The sequence below is a fragment of the Homo sapiens genome, chromosome X (genome assembly GCF_000001405.40).
Source record: "Homo sapiens chromosome X, GRCh38.p14 Primary Assembly".
Lineage (NCBI taxonomy): Eukaryota > Metazoa > Chordata > Mammalia > Primates > Hominidae > Homo > Homo sapiens.
In genome coordinates, this window is record NC_000023.11 from 30853515 (window position 1) to 30880277 (window position 26763).

At 37.2% G+C, this 26763-nt stretch overlaps 1 protein-coding gene across 12 annotated transcripts in view; it reads right to left on the reverse strand.

Moving 5' to 3' along the window:
* The window catches only part of TAB3 (TGF-beta activated kinase 1 (MAP3K7) binding protein 3), a 61813-nt gene that overhangs the window by 26073 nt on the left and 8977 nt on the right, over positions 1-26763 (reverse strand). For 11 of the 12 annotated variants that reach the window (XR_950433.2, NR_174362.1, NR_174361.1 and 8 more), the window contains exons 2-6: positions 18185-18287; positions 13951-14035; positions 13601-13704; positions 5973-6164; positions 602-2048 (exon numbers count right to left, since the gene is read on the reverse strand). Coding sequence is in view for 9 of the 12 variants with exons in the window: in NM_001399872.1 (NP_001386801.1) it covers positions 602-2048; positions 5973-6074 (1549 nt within the window). In the remaining 3 variants the exon portion in view is untranslated. Of the gene's footprint in view, positions 1-601; positions 2049-2302; positions 2419-5972; positions 6165-13600; positions 13705-13950; positions 14036-18184; positions 18288-26763 lie in introns of those variants that run through there. The other variant, XM_047441987.1, reaches the window with a different exon arrangement.

Genomic DNA, 26763 nt, shown 5'->3' on the forward strand with positions numbered 1-26763 from the left:
AATCTCTTTTTTCCTACTCTGTAGTTTGTACTTTTGACAATTTCCATGTCACTTGTATTTTTCGCTCTATGAATATTCTTTCTAAACTAAGCCTTATTAGGCCTACATTTTCATGTTTTAAAACAAAGTCTATACATGACTCTGAAGCACTAACTTTATTCTTTTTGTTTGTTTGTTTTGGACACAGTCTCCCTCTGTTGCCCAGGCTGGAGTGCAGTGGCGTGATCTCAGCTCACTGCAACCTCTGCCTCCTGGATTCAAGCTATTCTCCTGCCTTAGCCTCCCGAGTAGCTGGGATTGCAGGCATGCGCCACCACACCCAGCTAAGTTTTGTATTTTTAGCAGAGGTGGGGTTTCTCCATGTTGGCCAGGCTGGTCTCAAACTCCTGACCTCAGGTGATCCACCTGCCTCAGCCTCCCAAAGTGCTGGGATTACAGGCGTGAGCCACCGCACCCGGCCACTAACTTTATTCTTAATAGCAATGCTACTGCCCAACATTTAATACTAAACATTTAATTAAAACTAAACAGCTAATATATTTGAATGGGAGACTGCTGCCTCACCACAGAAATTAAATTTCATAAAAGGGTTAAAATTTACCTTGTGTGTAGGCATAGTCATCTGATCCAGAACTAGAACTTCTCTGATATTTATGGCTTCCCTTTTCTCCCCCAGAGCCTGGTATCACTGAAATGGGCTGAATAGGTTCTGGTGCTGCAGAGCGCTCTTCTTGGTCCACTAAATTTAAAAGATTTTCAGTCGTTGCTCGGCCTACGGTAATTTTAAAAACTGTAGTTGGGTTTGGTATCACTCGAGGAGATGGTGATGGAGTACAAGAAGGTCCAGTTGGCTGTGTATATGTAATATACACAGGATTAACACTAAATGGAGGTTTTGGTTGACTAGATATCCCTCTTGAAGGAGAACTTGAAGGTGGCGTGGTGGCTGTGTACAGTGAGTGTTGATTCCGTGGAGATGGTTGATTACTGATGGGTGAAGGACTCCTATTAATTGCTGTCCCAGGTCTTTGAGAAGGTTCAACTGTAATTTCTATCTTCTTCATGGAACCTTTGGATAAACTAGATGCTGTGTATGGAAGATAGGCTACTGAATGGCTTCCCTGTTTCTGATAGCTAGGAGGTCCTTGTTGATATGGATGGGGTGGAGTAGTTGAAGGACTAGGTGGCATAAAGATGTGGCCCAACTGGGAAGGTTGCACTTGATGCTGTGGAGAGCTGAAGGGTGAAGGACATTGAGAAGGAGGTGGTGAATGGTAAGCAGACTGAGGGATCTGCTGCTGTTTGGGAGAATACTGAGAAGGCTGATAGTTCTGTTGGTGTGGATAAACAGGTAAAGGACGCTGGCTATAGTGAGGCACTGGGCCCTGTGGTGAGGACTGCCACGGCGTACTCTGAGGAGTTTGTCTTCCTGATGAACTCTGAGATGTCTGTCTAATATAAATAGAACCAGGAGACCCATAGAGATTGCTTGGAATTTGTGGAAGAATTTGTAAAGCTCTTGGTACAGTCTGTCCAGAAGGGAGGTTCTGGGATACTGTAACAGTAATTGGATTTGTACTATACCGAGGTATGTGCATGTATGAAGGAGGTGGCGGTGGTGGTGAAGGCCCTTGCATAGCAGACGGATTCATTCCTGTTTGCATGGAAGATGGCTGTTGAGGTGGTTGTGAAGGAGGAGTAGCTGCACTTCTGTTCTGTTCGTTCATAAAAAATGGATTGTAGTTGGGAGTAGCAGCAACAACAGCTGGAGCTGAGTGTGGTTCTTGAACTAAACATATCAGCTGTTTACCTGCTGCATGCTGAGGATCAATATGTCCATCACTTGAGCTATGTACCAGTGTTCGACCACCATTAAGTTGGGCTCCATCTCCTGGGTGATAGCTACTAGGAGAATGGATACCCAGGTTAATATGTAAAAGGCGATTTCTATTCATCCTATTGTCATCTGGACTATGGTATTCCATATATAAGTATTTGCTACTCTCCTGGGAAAGGGCTCGGCAACAGGCTTCAAGATTGTTGTTATTCTAGGGGAGAAAAATGGTAAAAGTAACATTGGCAACATTAACAAATTCTAATAGTGGAAGTCAGGCTTTGCCAGAGAGTTATGCAAATACTACTGTCACAGAATAAATAGAGAGCAGTATTTTAACCACAAAAAACTTCATGGTCATCTATCCTGAAAAGGAGACCCAAACGATTCATATTATTTTACAAACATTTAGCTCACATTACTAGTACTACCACTACTGCTACTGCTACAGAAATGTAAAGTACCTACTAATGAACACTGTGACTCAACCCCAAGTTTTCTGACTCCAAATCCAGGACTCATTTTATACTTGTTGCATCTCAACAAATTAAAATGTTGGGCTTATCTCGGATTCACCACAATTGCTGCAATATAAGTATAAGTAATATCCATTATTAATATTTAAATTGATAAAAAACATAAAAATAACCATGCTTTAGTTTTTAAAAGGCACTAAAACCACAAAAGGAGAAAAAGAATTACAATAAAATTCCTCAAGAGTTAAAACAATAAAAATTCTAAAGCAGCCCTCATTTTTCTTTTACCTAAATTTATCCTTGAATAACTTCAACTGTCTGAACCATTACGTAAGATTTAAGCAAAACGAATCAGTATAAAAAAAGTCCATAACTTGAACTACGGCTCCATGACTTTGCCCGAGTTAGGGTAATTTAATTAAAAACCTGGTGTCGACTGCCTTAATTAAATTCATTCATACTCTCACAGTCTCAAAAGTTTTTACCCGCTGAAAGGTGTCTTGGTATACTTTCAAAATCACTGAAAGATTTGAATTGTTTAATTCTACACTCACAAAGGAGGTAATAGCAAACTGACACTTTTGAAGTTCCAACTGACAGTAATCAGACTAATAAAAGGTTCCCTCTTTGTAAAATGTTAATTTATCATAAAGCAGTTCTCTAAGGAAATACAGAATTCCAAACTATTTTACTAGTGTAAAGCACATATTATCCACTACTTTTGAAGTAATCCATAAAAGTTTCCCAATTATTGTGACCTTCTCTGTAGTTCATAAATATACACACAGATATGTACATGCATAGATATTACTATATATTTATTTTAGGAAAAGTACATTTTATATAAAAATGAAAGGAAATAATTCATTTCTGCTGAGAACCAAATGAAGTTAAACCTAAAACAGGACCCATAATGTTGTAATTTTAGAGTTGGGAGAACTCCTATTAGAGTTCATCTGCTCCAATTCAACGCACATTTACAGATGAGGAAAAAGATGCCTGGGAAGTTACATGGCTTGACAATAGGCACTTAACTAGTTAACAGAAAAGCCAATTCTAGATTCTTATTCTCCTGAGTCCCAGTGCTCTTTCCACATGATAATTTCAAGGGAAAGGATGTCTGGCCAAAAGGACATTATTAAACTGGAGCTTTAGGAAGTTTAAAAAAAAGTCCAGCAAATCTTTACAAAATGAATTCTTAGAAATTTAATGAATTGGCTGTATTAAAACTCTATAGATCATTTTAACCTTTTCTTTATATAAAGTTTTTGATACTAAAATTCAAATACTTTAAAAAATGAGATCATGCGTGTAAAACATTAACATTCTACCCAGATGATAGTGACAAATGGCAATTATAATCAATATAGAAAATTTAAAATTCAAATACTTCAAAAAATACTTTGAGTGACGGAAAGATGTATTAATTGAAGAAAACCATTACAACTCAAAGATTTGAATTATTTTTACCTTGCTTGAAAATCGTATTGAGCAAGGAAGGGAAGATATTAAAAACAAATTTGGAGCCAAAGGATTCAAACTGATTGCCAACTAGAATGTGTCACTGACAGACATCTGAAGGAAAAAAATATGGAAGGTGAAATAAAGTATTCTTTTTTTTTTTATAGACCTATGGATTAGGGGAAAACAAAAACTAGAGAGTTTCGTTTGAAACATAAGGTAGTCATGGATACTTTAACATCTGATATTTTTATTAATAACCCTGAAATTCCATGTTCTCTACACTGAGTTAGCCTACTTAGTATTGTCACAAAAAGGACCCAAATTCAAAATGATATAAAGTTGGAATTGTCAGCATATCTATAGTGACAAGTTGAGTAAATTTTCCTATGAAGAAAAATTTAAAAAACCACAAAACCAAGATATTAAAGTATTATTTTTACAGAAGTACTGTACAAAGAAAACTACCAGAATAGATTCTAATGTCACATTTGACTGTTAAATGTCTTTAAAGAAAAATAAGGATAAAAAATGTATCAAACAGTAAACATGAGGAAGAAATCAAAATCATTTCAGAGGTAAGAATTTTTAAGACATATAATGAACACTTTTGAAAGGAATGAGGCAAAAAAGCATCATATTCCTAAAAAGTGATCCTAAATTGAGGATGATACACCCCAGAGTGAGGCTCTAAGGCTTGCACATTAAATGCAAACTGCTGAGCTTCGTACATTTTAATGTGAATAAAGCAGTTTTCCAGAGCCAGTAGGTGGTAAATCTCCATACCAATATATTTTATTAATCCCAAAGGAAGAAAAAAGTGAAAGACTTAGGACAGTGTAATTATCAACAAATGTTCACTGAGCTGAATTTGAAGTTCTATTTCTTCAGTTTAGTTAAATGGTAATGAAAAATGCAGGTAATAAAGGGCTAAGTGAAATAAAACAAGGTCAGGGCTAGGTTGGGCCCTAAGATAGGTGAGGAAGGTGATTGCTAGGAAGTGGTTTAAACTAAAAGCTTCATCCTTATTTGGTTTCACTCCGGTGGGAAGTGTCTTTGCTCTACCAGAAACCAAAATGGGGCCAAAGTAAAGAGCTGAGATTCAGGCTAGGAATGTGTGTGAGAAAAAGCAAAGGCAAGCTGTAACACAAAAACCATAAGCCCAAAGCTCTAGACTAGTAAAGGGCTTGCAAACAAAGGAAGCACCTCTGTTACCATCATTGTTCTCTGAGTCTCTATTTTTAATTAACCACACCTGTATATAGGTTTAGGTTATGTCCTGAGCTGCTCACACTGCCATAAGGTAGAGTTTGAACATGAGTACTGACTGTGTGTGAGGAAGACCAGTGAGCATGGTAGAAGTACTGCTGCCCAAAGTTAAGCAAATAGGTAAGTGCCATAACCCAAAACACTAAGATCCTGTGAAGGATTATATAAAACATAACAAGGGGACAGTGGGACAGGGAGATGGGGTACAGGGAAAGTGGTAGGCCAACTTCTCTGTTTGTTGTCCCCTGAGTGGGAAAGACACATTCTGTCTTCGAGATGAGATTTAATTCAATGTAAGACACACAGCAAAACAAAGGTAAGGTGAGTGAAAATGGGCTTACATTTAAAATTAGATATCGGTAAGGATTTAGCATTAGAAAAACAGGGAGTGGATTATCTAAAGACTTTTAAAAAAAGACTCAAAAGTGTGTAGTCTAAGAAGTTAAAATGATACATTTAAGATTCAAAATTCAACTCTAAGGACTTAGGGACTGATAGTACAACCCAAAAACTTCAAAAAGTGAAACATAAGGAGAATCTGTTTTTCTTGTTGCTACATGCTTTTATTTTCTTCTCCAATCTGTGGTTCTCAATGGTGGGAGATTTTGCCTCCCATGAGACATCTGGCAATGTCTAAAGACATTTTCAGTTGTCACAACTGCGGGGATGCTATTGTTATTTACTGGGTAGAGGCCTCGGATGCCTAGAACGTTTAGTAATTCTACAATGCACAAGGCCGACTCCCACAACAGAGAATTATCCAGGCTAGACTGTCAACAGTGCCAAGGTTGAGGGAAATCCTGCTCCACACACACACACACACACACACACACACACAAGAAAACATACCTGGGTTCTAATTACATCACACATCACCAGCTCTAATAGGAAAAACTAGAACTTAATATCACTATCACTGGTAGGTAACTTACCTGTAACATGCACTGAGACACCACGCCCTCTGGAATTTCAGGGAAACGTTGTCGAAGATCATGGAGAACCTGAATATCAAGCTGTGGGCTGCTTTGCGCCATGCCAGAGCAAATGGTGGCCAAGTTTCTCTTAGGAAATGGATGTTAACCGGCTTTCCAAAAGTAATGATCTTCTAGCACCACAGTCATTTTCTATTTAAAAAAAAAAAAAAAGTATGGTTAAGTCTAGTTACATATTTTACTTTATTCCTATTGATCCTATACATCTCAGTAGTGGTGGCATCTCCTCTAAGGAGGCTTCCACTGACACTCCTTCTTAGTCCTGCTGCCTTGCCTCTCCCCTCCACAATGCTGCCAAAGCAGGCTGTGCTTACCCTCACAGAAACACTAAACACGCTATACTGAAACCATCTATGCACCTAAAGGTCTCACCTATTTAAAAAAAAAAAACAAAAAACAAAAACCTGAAGCCCCACCTGGAATATAGCTCATTATTAAAGACAGTGAGGAAGTACTCAAGAAGTGATGGGAACATATAAGGACCTGGAAGTCAACTTGAAGAGGTGCACTCACTGGCCACATTTGCAACAATTTGAATACCAAAATAATAAAAGACAGTAATGAGTTATAAACCTGTAGAAAAGAGGGAGCCGTGTGTCCGTATCAATGAAGATAGCTAAATACATACCTACAAAAATAGGGGAGAAGGGAAGTCCCTGCTTACAGTAAAATCCAATTGGTAAACATGCAGGAGTGCTGGAGCTGGAAGAAAAATCATTTTGCAGCCATCATAGTATAGACTACTTCAAGCAAGTATCATCAATGGATGCTAAATCTAGGGGAAAATCTGGATGAAGAGTAGGAAATACACACAGTTTTAAAAGTGTGTACCCAAAGCTTATTAGTTGCAAAGGGGAAAAATTTAATTATACAGTGGACAAATTGAACAACATCTTGACTGGGTGATCAAAATGATGAACATCACCAATGAGGGCCAGATGGACTGCACAGGCCTCCAGATGTGACACCATGAGAAAAACACATCATTTTATAGTATTACAGTCAGAAATGCATAACCTGAAACTAATCATGAGGAAATAGAACATTTCTCATTTTGGGCTTTTCTATTAAAAAGCGAAGGGGAAAGGAAATGTCATTTTAAGACAAAGGTTTGAAAAATGTCCCAGGTTAAAAAAGAGAGAGCCATGACAACTAAATCTTTTACCTGATCCTGATCCTATACTAAAAGGGAAAACTGTTAATAAAATAAATGAGTGGATCCACTGACCAAAGTGAAATGTTGATGGTAGATTAGAAGTATTCTATCAATGTTAAATGTATTGAATTTCCTGTTTTCTGAATTGATAACTGTGCTGTGGTTACATAAGAGAATATTCCTATTTTTCGGTATTAGACAATGAAGCATTCAGTGGTAAAGGGCATGCAACTTACTCTCAAACAGTTCAGAAAAAAATATATGTACATGTGTACATACAAACATGTGTACATGCACACATGCATGTGTGCACAGACAACTATAAAGCAAATAGGAAAATGTTAATAGGTAAATTTAGGTAAAGGGTATGCGGTGTTCTTTCTCCTATTTTTAGTCAGTTTAAAATTATTTCCAAATAAAAAGTAAAAATGACAACAAAAACCAGCTAACCAAACAAAAGCCTGTAGCTCTACTCAAGATCTGTGCCTTGTTCACCACTGTATTTACAGAGCCCAACTACTCAAGTATCTGTTAAATGATGAATCAATTTCACTATACTAAACCAGTCTACCTAATAAGATAGATTTGGATAAAACACTATTCATATTCAAAGAAAAATATATAGACAAGCCTTTTAGATGACTCTTGTCCCCCCATCTCCTGCCATCCCCCCACCCAGCAAATGTCAGGGGAGTGGAGTCACCTATATAGGGCAATTTGTGAACACATAGGGAAAAAAATTGGTTTACGCTTCTAAATCAATGGGTATATTTTTCCAGTTTGTCCCTTTTGAAAACTCCAAATCTGAAATACTAAGAGATGCTACCAGATTAACAATCCAGGATTTAATTTAAAATGTAAATTATTTCAAAGTCCTTAGTGTTAATTTAACTTTTTTCTGAATGGGGTTTGAATTATCTATCTTCCATTTTCACAGTAAAGCAATTTATAATTTCCACTGGCCAAAGGAGTCCTAGCTAGATGTATAATCCTACCAAGTCACTGAAGCTCTAAGGCAGCATTGTCCAGTAAAAAATATGTGAGTCATATGTATAATTTTAAATGTTCTAGTGGCCAACTTAAAAAGAAATAGGTGAAATTAATTGTAACATTTAACCCATGTCAAAAGTATTGTTTTAAATGTAATCTACATAAAATCAGTTATTTTATATATATTTTTCAAATGATATCTTTGAAATCCAGTGTATATTTTATACTTACAGCACATCTTAATTCACACTGGTCCCATTTCCAGTGCTCAGTAGCCACCTGTAGTTAGTGGCTACTTTACTGGACAGTGCAGCTCTAAGGCTTTAGGATCTTCATTTAAATAATAGGCGACTACCTACAACTCTTAGATTCCTTAATTCAACATCTCCTTTGAGGGTATACAATCGAGTAGGCACATGGCCTAGCACAGGCTAGCTGTTCAATAAATATTTATTAGGAGAAATGGGGAGAAAAAAGGAATTCACTGAATTTAATGGTAGGGATGACCTTAACTAATCAAATCGGCTTGTATTTACAGAAATAACAGTTTTCCTAACAGGAAGTGATCCCAGTATTTTAGGTGCTAAACCACATTCAGAACACTTCATGGCTATTTAATCAAACCTTCAATAAAGAGCTTCTGAAGCAGCCAAAGGCCTAACTCCAGCTTTCCCAATGGCTCCCAAAAACGGTTTTATTCATTTTCCAACCTTAATTACAAGCCTTTAAAATACAAGGGCAATACCATTGTCTTTTTTATGAGCTAGAAGAAAAGGCAAGAAGAATCAAAACACGGACAGACAGGCTTCAGGTGTCAAAAGCATAGGCTCCATATACTTCAGAGATCTTGAGAGCGGCCAGCTCTCACCTAGCTTTGTCAGAGCCTTCAGAAACCTCAGATGCTACTGAATCCAAGGTTACCATTATTTTTATCACTATAATTAGCTACCATTTACTGGTAGCTAATAATATGCCCTCAAAGGTAGTTATGATTATCTCCATTTTACAAATAAGAAAATGAACTCAAAGAATGAACATATGGCAGAATCATGACTCAAATCCACGCCTGCCTGCTCCAAAGTCTGTGTTCTTTCCACTGTGTCACTAGTAGGTATCAGAGACATTTCTAATGATGAGTGCCTTTCTTTGACTGGCTAAGGAGCAAACCCTCATTAAGTTTATCATTCACATAGGGAGCTAAAGGTGTGTGGTGAGGTGGAAGACTGAGAGGGAAGGAAAAAATAATTCTTGTACAAATAAGTTAGCTGTTTAAACACACAAGAAGAAAATGCCTTTTTAAAAAATGGTTATAAATACTTTCCTTTGAAGAAACATGTTAAAGCATCTTTCAAATGGAAGCCAACAGCTTACAAAAATGGCTACCATCTGAAAAGATGATTAATAGTAGACTGACTTTTCACAACAAATAGGAATCTAAACTGGTAAACACATATCCTTCTTAAGGGATTATGTATGTAATCTTAATAGTGGTTAGCACTCTGCCCTGTACAAACATTCACTCACATCAGCGCTAACTGACATGAATAATCATTTAGTATTTCACAGTAATATATAACACTCTCAAACTTAATTTTTTGATAACTATATCATGTTAAAATACTTTAAAAAAGCAACTTCCATTTTGTTCACTGGGAGGCTTTCTGTTTACAAACAGAAAATATTCCAGCCAATAAATTAAGTCAATGATACAGTTTGGATGTTTGTCCCCTCCAAATCTCATGTTGAAATGTGATTCCCAATGTTGGAGTTGGGGCCTGATGGGAGGTGACTGGATGATAGGGGCAGAGCCCTTGTAAATGGTTAAGCACCATCCTAGGTGAGTCCTTGTTCCATTCACTCAAGATCTGATTGTTTAAAACTCTAGGACCTCTCCCTCACCCGCCTTGCTCCCGCTTTTGCCATATTACATGCCTGCTCTTGCTTCACCATCTGCCATGATTGTAAGCTTCCTGAGGCTCTCACCAGAAGCTGGGCAGATATTGGTGCCATGCTTATGCAGCCTGTAGAATCCTGAGCCAATTAAACCTCTTTTCTTTATAAATTACCCTGCCTCAGGTGTTTCTTTACAGTGACATAAGAATGGCCTAATATAGTCAGTTTCCTTTAAAAACACAAAGTTTTACAGTAAAGTATTATGCTGTACTTTTGTATTTAATCCAATAGAAACAAAATGAAAACACTGTCATATAGTGTCATATTATAGATGTGGCTACCATGCAGATCAAAGCATATAATCTATTCTTGTCCAAATATATCAATGTAGGCAACAACTACTAAGCAAAATACACATTGAGTTTGTTTCTTAACATTATAATGGGCTATTTTTTATACAATAAGTGCTGAATGATGATTTGTCACTTTAAAGCCAGACAGAGGACTCAAGCAGTATCTAAGCTGTACAGGCTAGGCTCAGGCATGACCAAACTCCTGGGACACCCTTGAAACACCCCCACTAAAGTCCAGATGGCCACAGCTGTGGATTGTGGAGCTGTGTAGGCGGTAACCCTAGATCAAGAAAGAAGAAACACTAAAGACATAAACCCTATGATCATCACACAGTTCAGGGGCCACATGAACCAAGAGATTCTGCAGAGTTTTAAGCCTTTATTGCATGTCAGCTTTGTGAGGATTCTTTTCTTAAAGGCAAGACAGACTATGGGGCCCAGATGCTATGCTTAGCAGTGGAATCAGAGGCTTCCTTCAGTGGTGCAGCCACCTCCCTAATTCAAGACTGCTGGTAACACAAGGCACAGTGGTTTCTGTTCCTGAAAAATCAATTGCTAGGATGTCTCCCAACAGAATTGCTCCTCCCAATCAGAGAGGAAGCTCCCCCAGAGCTCTGCTCTAATGCCACAATTCCCCACACTCTAGAAAATGATGTCGACATCTAGTGCTTTGTTTCCACAGTTTTTCCTGAGCTCAGCAAATAAACAGGGTGGTGCCATTATGGCCCAGAGTGTTTTACCTCTGTCAGAATTTTAGGTCACTTCCTGAAACAGTTATATCAGAGGTTGCAAACCAATGGTCTGTGGAATGAATTCAGCCCACAGATCTGCCTGGTTTGGCCATCACAGTGTGTGTGTGTGTGTGTTTTTTTTTTAAAGTTGAGCTACATTTAAAACTGGGAGACATCACATAAAAATGTACATATCTAGCTTTTCTCTGAAAAATCACGTGATCTAGCAACTGCAGGCAACAACTGGCTGAAACTAAGGCACCACTCCCCTTTTAGGAAGGACAGTTTGCCTAGTTCCTATACTCCGTAGCTGATTCCAAACACTGCAGCCTGGCCTTGCTTCACTCATCTAGATACCTGCTGGGTTTGTGACACCTGAAATGTGTTCTGCAGAAAGGTTTAAAGATACAATGGTAAGTATCAGTGTACTCTAGTGTGTCTCAACGGCATACTATTGATGCAATAATTTTGGAGCACAAGAATTCCTCGTCATGCAAGACTATCCCAGGCAATGAAAGGTATTTAGCATTCTGGCCCCGCCCATAAAATCTCAGTAGCACCCCCAAGTGGCCTCTAGAGAGGCAATACTTTCTTGGGCTGACAGCCACTGCTAGCATATTAAGGTAATGAGGTGAGTGAGCATTTCCCAGGTTTGAAGAAAAGTTAGCCTTGTCTTGAGAGAACTTTTAGGATTGCAAAATAAAAGAATCATTAATTTTTCTGGTTGGTCTGGTCCAGTAATAATTGTTGAACAAAACACAGTATGTATATGAGTATAAAGCTTTCAAACTTTCATCTATTTTTTTGCTGCTTTGGAGGTTTTGATTTTAGATCATATTTACTGAGCCGTATCTGAGTATCAAGTACTGTGCTAAGTGCTTTACCTCATTTAATCCCTAAAATACTTCCATGAGAGAGGTAATATTATCATCCACGTTTTACAAATAAGGAAACTTGAAGTTCAGAGAGGGCAAATAAATTGCCTGTGGTTACACAGTCAACCAGTAGCAAAGCTAGGATACAAATTTAAGGTTATGCTCTTAACCATTATTCTTCTGTACTACTGGCTACCTGGTAAGACTCTGATGATGTCATAACTCTTAACAACAGTTTAAAGCAAACCTTGCTTTTAAAACAGAAGAGTTTTTGTACTACAGTGTGAATTCTTCAAGTTAAACAGTAACAAAAAGTGGCTGATATTGAGGCATAACAAATGGTCTTTTACTGGCAGAGATAAGAGTTCCATTTTCAGGATTTTTCATGCATATATGTAAAGGTGCTACCAAATAACAAGGGGGAGAGGAATACGATAGTTATTATTTCCCCTAAATAAGCCTTCTAAATAATTTATGAAACAGTCATCCTATAGGATTTTTATTACAGTAGAGACCATTTTGAAATAGTCACATATTCACTGCATCTATCTCATATTCTGTAAGTCTCAAGAGATATACTATGAGACTGAAATAATATTAAAATAATCCACAAAAACATTTTCAATTTAAATATGGCCTCCAGAAACGATAGATTCATATTTAATTTAAACTTAACACCCCCCACAAAGAATATGTTAGCTGCCACATTAAAATTATACATAAAAATATTTATAAATATGCATAAATATATAGACTATATACACGGAAATTTCAGCTGAGAGGACATAGAGGCAACAATACCCCAGTAGCAATGAGCACACCCAGCACCCAGTTCTTGATTTCTAATTGCATTCTCTCTTTAATAAAGGGAACCAAGGCCCTGTGGAGAAATGGATGATTCTAAAACTGGGGCAGGGAATATATAGGATGAGCCTGGAGCATCTTGTAGTACCAGAAAGTAAGGAAGTACTAAAAAATCAAAATCCCATGATGATGAGGGCATGTCGAAATGACACAGGAGCCAACTGAAGGAGCTCCCAATGGTCAAAGCTGGAAAAATTTGAACACCAAAATAAATAAAGTAGTATTATATTATGATCCAACGTATAAAATAAATAGCCATGAGCCCATACTGAGATAAAGAAATGACTGAATAAATGAATGAATGATAAATGAGGGGTGGGGGGAGCCTCCCATGCAGAAAATCCCAAACAATTTACATAGATAATTCACCTCAAGGAGGTGGAGCATAACCTCCCACCTCTTAAGTGTGGAATGCACATGGTGACTGCTTTCCAAAGAGCACAATACAGGAAAGGGGTGTTTAAAAAAAAAAAAAAAAAAAAAGATTACAGTGAAGAAACCTGACAAACACGTTCTCAGCCAGGTGATCAAGGTCAACATCAACAGTGATAAGTCACGTTGATAGTATGGACTGTTTGTATGATGTGATGAGAATGTGAGAATGGCACTTTACCTTTGTGGTCTTCCTCCTTAAAACCCATAACCCCATTCTACCCATGAGAAAACCATCTGACACATCCCAATTGAGTGATAGTCTACAAAATACCTGATCAGTACTCCTCAAGAACAAAAGTCTGAGAAACTGTCACAGCCAAGAGGAGTCTAAGGAGACATAACAACCAACTGTGATGGGGTTTCCTGGATGGAATCCTGAAAGAGGAAAAAAAACATGTTCAGTAAAAGTTAAGGAAATCTGAATATAGACTTCAGTTAATAATCATGTTTCAATATTGGTTCACTAATTGTAACAAACGTACCATGCTAATGTAAGCTGTTAATAATAGGGGAAACTGAGTGCAGGGTATATGGGGACTCCCTGTACCATCTTCTCAATTTTTCTGTAAAACTAAAACTGTTTTAAAAAATAGAGTTATTTAAAATTAGAAAAAAAAATACCTCAAGATGGTTTATCAACCCTGGCACAGAAATTTTATTCACATCTCCAGCTCTGAAAGCAACTTCTTTTCAGTAGTCTAGAAATCTGAGAAAACGAAAAGATGGTTATCTTTTTGCTAACTTCCCAACTCAATATGGAAAATAACAAAAAACTAGTAGACTTCTGGTGCCTCAAAGTAACAGCAGACAGGATGCTAGACCACACTTTCAGGGCAGGTTGGCTCTTTCCCAAGTATCCTTACAAACTGAATCTTCTTTTCTTTTAGGTCAGAAATATCTTCTACAGCAACTAAATTCTACATTATCCCACAGAAGAGAGCAGAAGTTCAAAAAGAAAAACAAGTCCACTGCTTATTTTCTTAAGTCAACACCTGGTTCTGACTTAGCATCCTGAGCCTCCATTCTATTTAGAAAAGAGAGGATTAAGCCCAGGCCTATGAAGCATGCATATAATTTTTTTTTTTTTTTTTGAGACAGGCTAGAGTATAGTGGCAAACTCACGGCTCACTGCAGCCTCAACCTCCCAGGCTCAAGTGATCCTCCCATCTCAGCTGCCCAAGTAGCTGGGACTATAGGTGTGCACCACCATACCTGGCTAATTTTTTTATTTTTCATAGAGACGGGGTTTCACCATATTGCCCAAGCTGGTCTCAAACTCCTGGGCTCAAGTGATCCACCCACCTGGGCCTCCCAAAGTGTTGGGATTACAGGTGTGAGCCACCACACCTGGCCTATATGATTTTTAATTGCATAGCACAAAGTGTGTATAACTTTTTGAAAAATGCTACCTCTATTATAAACCCTGTTTTCTGTTTAGTTCTGTTTAGTGAAAAGCTATATATATATATAGCTTATATATATATATATATAAGCTTTTATATATATAGCTTATATATATATATATAGCTTATATATATATAGCTTATATATATATATATAGCTTATATATATATAGCTTATATATATATATAGCTTATATATATAGCTTATATATATATATAGCTTATATATATAGCTTATATATATATATAGCTTATATATATATATATAGCTTATATATATATATATATAGCTTATATATATATATATATATATATATAGCTTATATATATATATATATATAGAGAGAGAGAGAGAGAGAGAGAGAGAGAGAGCGCGTGGGGGGGAGAGACAGAGAGAGAGAGAATTGTAACCTTATTCACTTATTTTGACAGATGAGCACTCTCTCTCCCCATTTAGAGATTATCCGCATTCTCAGTAAACCTAGTAATTCAATGTTAATATTATCATTTTAGGGCATATATTGGCTTTTATCAGAGCTATCATACATACAAGTTTCTAATTGATCTCCTGAGTCAACTTCATTTTACAACCACAGTAGAGCTAAAATAACATACCCTGTGTTTATATCATACATTTAATTTTGCAGTTTACCAAACTTTCTTATTTTTTAATTTCTCAGTTACTTTGATTATCCAAAAAAAAAAAAACTAACTTCAAGTATGAGCAAGAAGCACTGTGCACTGACATAAATGCTGTTTCTACCATGTGTAATACTTTTTTCTACTTTCTGATACAACAATGCGAAATCCACCCCACATTTTTTTTTTTTTTGAGATGGAGTTTTGCTCTGTCACCCAGGCTGGAGTGCAATGGCACGATCTCAGCTTACTGCAACCTCCGCCTCCTGGGTTCAAGCGATTCTCCTGCCTCAGCCTCCTGAGTGGCTGGGATTACAGGCACCCTCCATCATGCCTGGCTAATTTTTGTATTTTTGTAGAGATGGGGTTTCACCATTTTGGCCAGGCTGGTCTTAAACTCCTGACCTCAGGAGATCTGCCCACCTTGGCCTCCCAAAGTGCTGGGATTACAGGTGTGAGCCACTGCGCCCAGCCTTTTGTTTGTTTTTTGCCATCCCACATTTATGTTAACCCCCTCCTAAATGCCTACAAAGTTTTCTCCCTTTCATAAATGCCTATAAAAGTCACTGTGTGTTGATTATCACTTTCAGCACTTAGTATATTAACTTTTTATTCTCCTCTAGGATTTTTCACTATAAATCTTGAGAACAAGAATCAAACATGCTCTTTTGGCTACAGTGCCTTGTACACACTAAATATTCCATATAAATGACAAAACATAGGCCTTGAAAATAACTGGAAATCTAATTTGCTCTGGTCAAGGTGTTTTAAGGTCTTGGTTGCATCAATTCCTAAATGACGTTATTTTAAAAGAAAGATAGAACAACCTATTGGTGACATATGCCAGAAGCAGATCATCTGCACATTTTATTACTTAAAGAGATTACTTAGAACAGTGTTTTTCAAATGGTGGGTTTTGATTTATTAATGTATTGTATAACAAATGTACTACGTGATGACTATAAGGGGAAAAGAAAAAGAAATAACAGAAAATATCGAAGTGTTTCACACACAGTAATGGCAAATACTCATTCAAAAAACTTGTTTCAGGTATGTGCGTATGTACTAGATCACGATTAAAATGTATTTCTTACTGTGGGTTTGAGAAATAGTGACTTCAAATATGGTGATATATTTTAAGTTATACAAGGAAAAATATTACTACTTTCCTTGTTACCTTCTTCTAAATAGATGGAAGCTTGCTGATTAAGAAGCAAAATGGAAGTACTGGAGAAACCCTCTGGATATGACAGTTGAAATGACTTAACTCTTCACGTTATGAATTTCTGTGTGATTTCTCTCAAGTGCAGCCTAGATGTGTTCATGTAGCATCCTCACGTACCTATAGGAGGCTCCTGCCTTCTAATATATTTAAAAGATTTTTTTAAAAAATGAATAATCAGTCTCATTAACCCTGAAATCCAAGATCACAACTATGGGAATTTCCTAGTGGAAGAGTTTGAAAGATTAACAGAAATGCTATTTATAATCATTAACTAAACAATTTCTAACCCATTGCCCACTCATTTAATAAAATCTAAGCTTGGCGATACAGAAGACCCATGTCCTCGTAGTGAGAGAAACACTGGCAGTTATAATAGAGTGGGGTTGAGTTCTATAATAAGTAGTCAGAAAAAGAAACAATGAAGGTAGAACAAAGAGAAGGAGAGCTGAGGAAAGCTTCAGGGAAGAGATGACATTTAAGCTGGATTACAAAAAATAGGTTTTTTGTTTAAAATAAAAACAATAGAATTATAAAGCTGGAAGAAACTCCACATCATCTAACCCAGTAGTTCCCAACCAGGGGTGACTTTTCCCTGCAAGGGACATTTGGCAACGTCTGAAGATATTTTTGGTTGTCATACTGAGGAAAGGTGCCACTGACATCTGACAGGCAGAGTCCAGAGATGCTGCTAAACATCCTACACTGCACAGGACAGCCCCTGACAACAGAAAATTATCCAGCCCAAGATGCCAATAGTGCCAAATCTGCGAAACCCTGAACTCAACCCAAATACAAACATTTCACACAAGAAGATAACTGAAGGCTGGAGGGATTTTAAAACTTGTTAAAAGCCAAGATTATTAAACGGGTGTCACAACATCTTGCCTAAGTATTTAATTCACAGCACATACCCATGCTGGATACTAGGAAACAGATGTTATAAAAAGTGGGAACATTTTCATAAGGTAGAAAGATAAACTATGTAGAAATCACGGCTGATATTGTTATGTAGTCTTTCCTGATACAGATCTACCAATGGTTCAAAGCAAGAATTATGGTTACAATACCACTAACAAAATTATACCCTTATTTGTTCATAATACTGTATTTACCATCTGCTTAATTCAGTTATTTAACATGGATTTGAGAATAAGAAAAATTACAAAAACTAGGAAGTTGGAAGATTCGTATATCCCACACACATCTAGTTATTTCTTGGGGGCAGATCTTTCAATCTCCACCAGCTCCAGTGCTGGGGATCTGGCACCTGAGTAGGATTAGCCCCTTTTATTCAAAATAAACTGCTAAATTACCCTTCTATTTTCTGGTGAGGTTTCTAATAGCAAATGAATTGTCCAAAGAACTTGTAACTCCCACTAGCAGTAGTAGTAGTACTAGTACTAGTAGTAGCAGTAGCAGCTGCTGCTCTTAGGGCCTAAATCTAAACACATGAAATCACTTGGACATCTTTTATTTTGTCATCCTTGCTCTTAAGTGCACAAAGGACACAGAATATAAATGGAGGGGAGGGTGTAAACATGTTAACAGTAATATAGATTCATTTTCAAAAAAGAAATATACTCCTTACCTCCAATTTTTCAACTGGTGAAAATTCAACTAAGATAATTCATCCAGTTTGACACAACACAATCCACGGTCAAAAACTTGAAGAAAAGGCTGAAGACAGTGTCCTGAAAAATAAAAGGCTAATGAGGTAAGATTCAAACTGTGAAAGCTTTAAATACAACAGTATGAGCAAGTGATATAGTGTATGAATAAAAGGTCATGAAAAAGCAGGCAGCCATTTTACTACATGAAATTTCAGTGAATGAAACTTATGTTTAATTGATACTAAGAGAAAGTTTTCCTGACTGCCTGAGCCAGCCTGCTCCTCTCTCATCACCTCGAGTGCCTAAGGTAGAGCTTTACAACAGCAGAGGGGACAAATGAAGCTTTCCTGAGATTTTAGCTTCGGAGAAAGCTAGCAAGAGGAGCTTTAGCTGCATCCCTGGAAAACCATCAGGAGTCCCTGCAGCTTCCCAAGATGTACTAGTCATTAAAATTTAATGAACTTGATTGCAAAACTGTGCTGAGGCCCTTTTAGGGCCATAGGTCTTTAAAATTTAAAGGACTCCGTGGTGAGTCTGATGTAGTCTCTGGTAAAGTAGAGGAACTTTTTAAAATTCCCATACCCCAAGTAAGCACCACACCCGCACTGCAAGCCCACAATAATGAAGAGAGTATACAATCTTTTCTTCTGTTTTTTTGTTTGTTTTTCCCTGCCACCCTACCTTTTCTCAATAGGATTAGAACTGTTCGCTCAGGATTGGAAGACCTTCCCCATGACCCAACCCACAAAAATTACTAATCTAACATTCAGGAATAGCTTTAACTTCTTCAAGAATCACTTTATCATAAGCCTTAGTAAAATAATAGAGTTATACATTTAACAATTCAATAAATGACTACATATTTCAGGTTAACCAAATAGCTCTTGTGAATGAGAAAGCAGTTTGTCCATATATAAATATTTCAGCTAATAATAGCAGAAGTGACCAAATTGAACAATCACAATTTTGCAACCTTTAATTACATAACTAATTCATGCACCAGTAATCAATGGATGCTAACAGCATTAAGTAAAAGGTTGGGCTTCACAAAGGGATCAAGCTGTCACCACTTGAACCCTCTGATGAATCTTCACAACACTTAAGGTGAAATGACCAGATGATATGTGCCTCCAGATGTGATGTAATATGAAGTGACCACAAGCACTCTTGCCCACCCCTCCAAGAAAATATATTATGAACCTAATTAAGCATATAGATCTAATTTCCGGTCCATATGAAGTAAGAGGATAAAGAAACAAGTTAAACAATATCTCACCAGAATGGCATAGTCTGAGGATGAAAAAAAGCAGAGAGGATTGTTATACATTATAAGAGAATTAAGAGACTTAAGGGGTATAACCAAATACAATGAGTAGATCCTGTTGCAAACAAACCAACTATCAAAAAACGAATTTTTTTTAGACAATTAGGGAAATTTAAGGATGGACTAAGTACAGGTGACCCTTGAACAGCACAGGTTTGAATTATGTGGGTCTACTTATATGTGGATTTTTTTCAATAAAATAAAAAGTTACGGCCGGGCGCGGTGGCTCACGCCTGTAATCCCAGCACTTTGGGAGGCCGAGGCGGGCGGATCACGAGGTCAGGAGATCGAGACCACGGTGAAACCCCGTCTCTACTAAAAATACAAAAAATTAGCCGGGCGCAGTGGCGGGCGCCTGTAGTCCCAGCTACTCGGGAGGCTGAGGCAGGAGAATGGCGTGAACCCGGGAGGCGGAGCTTGCAGTGAGCGGAGATCGCGCCACAGCACTCCCGCCTGGGCGACAGAACGAGACTCCGTCTCAAAAAAAAAAAAAAAAAAAGTTACATCAAGTGTGCCTGCCTCTCCTTCCACCTCCTCCCCTTTTTCTGCCTCTGCCATGCCTGAGACAGCAAGACCAACCCCACCTCTTCCTCCACCTCCTCAGCCTCTTCAACATGAAGATGACAACGATGAAGACCTTTATGATGATCTACTTCCACTTAATGAGTAGTAAATATATTTTTCTATGATTTTAACATTTTCTTTTCTCTAGCTTACTTTATTGTAAGAATACAGTAATATATGTAACATACAAAATATGTGTTAATTGTTTATATTACTGATAAGGCTTCTGTTCAACAGTAGGCTATTACTAGTTAAGTTCTGGGGGAGTCAAAAGTGGCACATTGGCTGGGCACAGTAGCTCACGCCTGTAATCCTAGTACTTTGGGAAGGCAAGGCGGGAGGATCCCTTGATCCCAGGAGTTCAAGACTGGCCTGGGCAACATGAGGAGACCCTATCTCCACAAAACAATATAAAAAAGTAGGTGTGGTGGTGCATGCTCATGGTCCCAGCTACTCAGGAAGCTGAGGTGGAAGGATCACTTGAGCCCAGGGGATTGAGGCTGCAGTGAACCATGATCATGCCACTGCACTCTAGCCTGGGGGACAGAGTGAGACCCTGTCTCAAAACAACAATAACAACAACAACAACAAAAGTTCAGGTGGATTTTTGACTCTGCAGGCAGTCAGCACTCCTAACTTCGGCTTTGTTCATGGGTCAACTGTATTATATGTGCTATTAAGAACTGTATTGTATGTGCTGTATAAGATAATAACATTGTAGCTATGTAAGAAAATGTGTTGTTTTAGAGATGTTAAATTATTGGGGAGTGAAATTATGTCTTGGCTATGCCTTAATTCTTGGAAAAAAGAGGAGTAAGGAGATGAAACTAGTATGGTAAAACGTATGTAACTGTAGCATCAGAGGTTCATTGGACCTTTCATTTGTGTACATTTAGAAATGTTCAAATAAAACGTTCAAATGTCAAGTACCTACAAATAAACAAGGGTATTTGACATTCACAGGCCTAACGTAAAATAATTGTTCAAGGCTATCATTACAAGTGAGTAGCAAGGATGTTGCTGGATGCTGAAAACAATGATTTGAAAATGAGATATGAGGGCGGTTCAGAAGCAGAATCACTAGAAGTATAGGAGCATTGACTCTATTGCTGGAAAAGAAGTACAAGGCAGATAAGCTTTTTGCCCTTCTTAAGATTCAGAAGGATAAGGCAAACAAGACTGGCTAGGATTTCATCAAGAGTGACTGGAGAAGCAACAAAGGAAGCCCTGAGTGCCAAGAAAGACGGTAAATGAACTGGAAAGCAAAGACGCATCTCTTTTAGAACTGGAAAAATTGAGACATGTCTAAAAAGAGAGAAAGGGACTGTATGTGTAGGGATGAGAAAGGACTAGTGACACAGCAAGCTTTCTAACAGGGCAGAGAGGTTGGCAAATTCCAGAGCTGGTGGTACCATGTTCTAGAAATGGGGTGGGAGGCGGTGAGGATGAGATATGAAGGAGTAATCTCCCAATTGTCTCAATCTTCAGGACATGAGTCATGGGGTCAGGATATTATATGACTTACAGAAAGAAGAAAGCATAATATGATAAAACTGGGAAGTCAGTGAGCATATGCAGGCAAGAGTTACCTGGCCATTATAGCTGAAACACAATGCTGTAATATTAACAGACAAAGAACATATGCCATTCACCAGGTGTGGGACGACAGACGAGTTACTTAACCTCTTAGGCCCAGTTTCCTAATCCTTTGCTTAATATCACACCTATCATATACTTACCTCACAAGGCTGCTGTGGGTTATTAATTTACATAGAAGGAAAAAAGTTTGTAAAGCACAATGTTCATTGATTAGGTTGTTTGAGGGTTCTCATATGGCAGAAATCTAGGAATCTCAGCAGAACTGCCTTTTTTTTTTTTCCTATTTCACAAGGGCAGATATATATTATACCTACATATAAGTATGCTAAGACAGAAGATGTGATTGCAAAAGTGTAACTAGGAAAGTATTCTCTTCCATGAGAGGAAAAAATTTTAGTTGATATTATGCATCCTAATTTCAATAGCAATTAAGAGGGATTTCATCTTTTGAGTCATTCCAGACGTAGCTGAAATTTAAATAAACCTGTCCATTGTCAAGGTCTAGCAATTGACCAAGGTTGAAGAGACTTAAAATATTGCTGAGTGTTCAGGAAACAATTTACTTATATTTACGCACATACAATGTAACCTTTCAATTAAAAATGTATATAATTATACAAGTGAGTACAGCTATATAAAACAAAGCTTAAACAGAACTAGGGCTGAGTCTGAAGTCTTAGAGAAAATGACAGTCTTTGCCACTTCTAAGAAAATCCTGCCCATAAAGAGCGAACAAAGCACCTCCCTATCTGAAGGCAAGGAATAGGGTTGGTCAAAATATAAGAAATGCCTTTCTTAAAAGTGTCAAAGAGCCAAAACAGAAGGACAAAAGGGAAAATCCTCTTCACCCACTTTCGGGTTGGGACCCTGAAGGGCTGCAACTTAGAAATAAGGGTGAATCGCAATGAATCAGTTCACACACTGAATGTGATGTGGCCTTGAGTCATCTGGTTGGCCCAGGAAGGTCTCTAAAGCTGAGATTTGATTAAGCAACTCTGGATTTTCTGGATTCCCTTAAGCAGATGTACACACACACACATACACTCCTTTCTGAAAAACTATCATCCTTGGTTTCAAATGATTTTTCAAATAATTTTTCAAATACAATGCCCAGCATGCAATTAAAGACAATCAGGCACACGAGGAAACATAATAAGATGACCAGAAGAGACTCAGAAGGACTCCAAGTATTGGAATTATCAGACATGGATTTTAAATTATGCTTGCTATGTTCAAGGAGATGAAAGCCAAACTTAAAAATCTCAGCAATGACCTAGAAATCATAAAATGTGACACAGCAGAATTTGGGTGTTTTTGAGACCGGGTCTCGCTCTGTCACCCAGGCTGGAATGCGGTGGCGTGATCACGGCTCACTGCAGCCTTGACCTCTGGGGCTCAGGTGATCTTCCCACCTCAGTCTCCTGAGTAGCTGAGACTATAGGCATGCACCAGCATGCCCAGCTAATTTCTGTATTTTTTTTTTGTAGAGATGGGGTTTTGCCATGTTGTCCGGGCTACACAGCAGATTTTTAAAAGAAGCAAAGAATAATTTTATTACTGAGAAATGCAAAAACCGAAACTAAGAATTCAATAAACAGGTCTAACAGCCAATAGACACCGTTGAGACAGTGAACCAAAAGATAGGTCGGGGGAAAATAAAACGCTCAGAATGAAGAGAGGGTAAGAAACATGGAAGATACAGTGAGAAAGGTCTAATATCCAAGAGTTAATCAGAATCCCAGAAGGAAAAGAGACAGAATGGGGCAGAGGCAATATTTGAATAAATGTTCCAAAAATGATGAAACCTGTCAAACCACATGTGTAACAATCTCAATGAATTCCTACCAGACAAAGGAAAGTTTTAAAGCATCCTGATGGAGGGGCAGCAGGGGCAGAGGTGGGGAGATTACTTTCAAAGAAGCAACAGTTAGATTGATAGCTTAATTTTCAACAACAAAAATGGCAGCTAAAAGACTGTGTATCTCCAAGAAGCATGAAGAAAACAACTGCCAACCTAGTATTCCACTGAGGAGAAAATATCCTTCAAGAAAAAAATTAAAATACAGGCTCAGACAAATAAAAACAGAGTTCATCTCCAGCAAACCCTCACTAAGAATGAAGCAAAAGAAAACTGCCTCAAGATGGAAGGTCACAGATAGAGAAAGGAATGAAGACCCATGAAGTTCAAATAAGCACGTGAAATCTAAAGGAATATTGACTGTATAAAATAATGTCTTGTAAGGTTTAAAATACATACAGAAAATTAAATTACAGGACAACAATATGTATGTCACAAGGTAGGTAAATGGAACTAAGGTGCTTTAATATTCTTGCTTCAACTAGGAGGAAGGTAGAAGTATCAATTAACACTAGACTTTGATAAGTGAAGAATACATGCTATAAATGCTAGGGTAATCACAAAAAGAATAAAAATGAATAAGTGATGTCTGAAGTAATAAAGGAAAAATGATATAAAAATAGTCAAATAAAAGAAAAAGACAAGGGGAAAAAGAAATACAGAGCTAGTAGAATAAAAATGCAATGCTGTACTTAACCCCAAAATGTCAATAATTATATTAAGTATAAATGAATCAAATGTTTCAAAAAAGAATGATTATCAGATTGGGTTAAAAAAAATCTACAACTATATGTTGCTTTCAAGAGCCCCATCTAAAACATAAGAATACAGAAAGGTTAAAAGTAAAAGGATAAACACATATCATGCAAACATTAGCTAAAATAAAGATGGTATTGCTCTATTAAAGATGGTATTGCTGTATTAATTTCAGACAAAATAGAATCAAAGAAAAAGGATCACTAGAGTTAAAAAGAGTCCCTTCATAGTCATAAAATGCTTAATTCACCAGAACAATATAACGAACTAAATTTGTATGCAGTTGATAACATGGACTCAAATTATATATAAAGCAAAGGTTGACAAAACTTCTAGGAGAATGAGACATGCATTAGTATCTCAGGGGCAAATATTAAGACACCTCTTGGCTGGGTGTGGTGGCTCATGCCTGTAATCCCAGCACTTTGGGAGGCCGAGGCAGGTGAATCACTTGAGGTCAGGAGTTCGAGACCAGTCTGGTCAACATGGTGAAACCCCGTCTCTACTAAAAATACAAAAATTACAAAAATTAGCCAGGTGTGGTGGCACGTGCCTGTAGCCCCAGTTACATGGGAGGCTGAGGCAGGAGAATTGCTTGAATCTGGGAGGCAGGGGTTGCAATGAGCTGAGATCGCACCACTGCACACTCCAGCCTGGGCAACAGGGCAAGACTCCATCTCAAAAAAAAAAAAAAAAAAGAAAGAAAGAAAGATATCTCTCTCAGTAGTTAAAAGAATAAGCAGACCAAAAAAGTTGGTAGGGACAGAGATACGATACAATTACCAAACTTGATCAATGGACATATATAGAATGCTGTGTCCAGTAACTGCAGAATATATGCTTTTCAAGTGCTTACATATTTGCAAAAACTGACCACATGCTAAGCCATAAAGTAAGTCTCAGGGCATTTTAAAAGATTGAAATCACTCAAAGTTCTCTAAGGAAAATGTGTTAAAGCCAGAAACAAAATACAAAAAATACACAGTTAGAAAATTCTCATATTACTGGAAATTAAGAAATATACTTTTAAAAAACCCATGGATCAAAAAAGAAATTACAGTGGGAATTTTAAAATATTGTGAAATAATGAAAATATTACATCTCAAAAATGATGGGATGCAGGTAAAGCAATACTTGAAAATGAAATGTATAGCTTTAAATATGTATGTCAGGAAGGAAACAAGGGTATAAACACCTACCTACCCATCTCAAGAAGTTAGAAAGAAAAAGAGCAAAATAATTCCTAAAAAGGTATATAAAATATACTGAATATAAAAGCAGATATTAACAAAATAGAAACACTTGAAGAATACTATTAGTATTTTTAAAACTGCATCTGTAATTAAAAGCTTTCCCACAAAGAAAATTCTAGGCCTAAATGGCTTCACTGCTAAAATCTATCATGCATTTAAAGAAAAAATAAAACCAAACTTAACCTAAACTCTTCCAGAGAATCAAAAAGCAGGTATCTTCCTTAGCTCATTTTACAAGGCTACTAAAGCCTGACAAGGACAGTACAAGAAAAACAAAATTTCAGGCCAATCCCACTCACGAACAAAGATCTAAAATTCCAAAGTAAAATTAGAGGAAAATGTGATGTTGACCATGCTAGGTTTATTTCTGGAATGCAGTTTATTTAGCATTAGGAAATCAATCAATATAATTTGACTTGAGGAATATCCTATGGTTATATTAACAATAGGAAAAACATTTGATAAAATCCAGTATCTATTCATGATGTAAGCTCCTAATAAACTAAGGACAGAATGAAACTTCCTTAATCTGATGATAGCTAGAAAAAAATTAAAGTAAACATCATATTTAATGGAGAAATGTTCAAAGTTTTCCTTTCAAGAAAGGAAAAAAGACAATAGCGCCACTATTACTACTTCTATTCTGCATTATAATCGAAATACTAGCCAGTACAGTAAGATAAGAAACAAAAGTATAACATTTCGAAAGGAAGAAACAAGACTTTATTTGCAGATAAGAAGACTGAATACATAGTAAAAGATCAAATACATACTCTAAAGATATATGACTAAAAGTTGAGCAAAATTATTAGATACAAGGTCAATATAAAGATATAAACAAACAAAATAATGGCTATAAACATTTACAATATCAAAAAATATCAAATATCTACAAATAAAACTCTCAAAAGTTGTGAACAATCTTCCGGAGAAAATCACAACCATTACTGAAAGAAATTAAAGACCTAAATAAATGGCGTAGTGTATCATGTTCATGAATTAGAAAATGATAAAGATGTCAATTCTTCCCAAATTGCTCTCTAGATGCCATGCAGTTCCAATCAGAGTAGCAACAGGTTTTGTGGGTGTGTGTGGAAAATGACAAGATGATATTAAAATCAAAGAAATGTGCAAAGGGCCAAGAATAGCGAAGATGCTTTCGAAGGACAATGTGGAAGAACTTGTTCTACTAGATATCAAGTT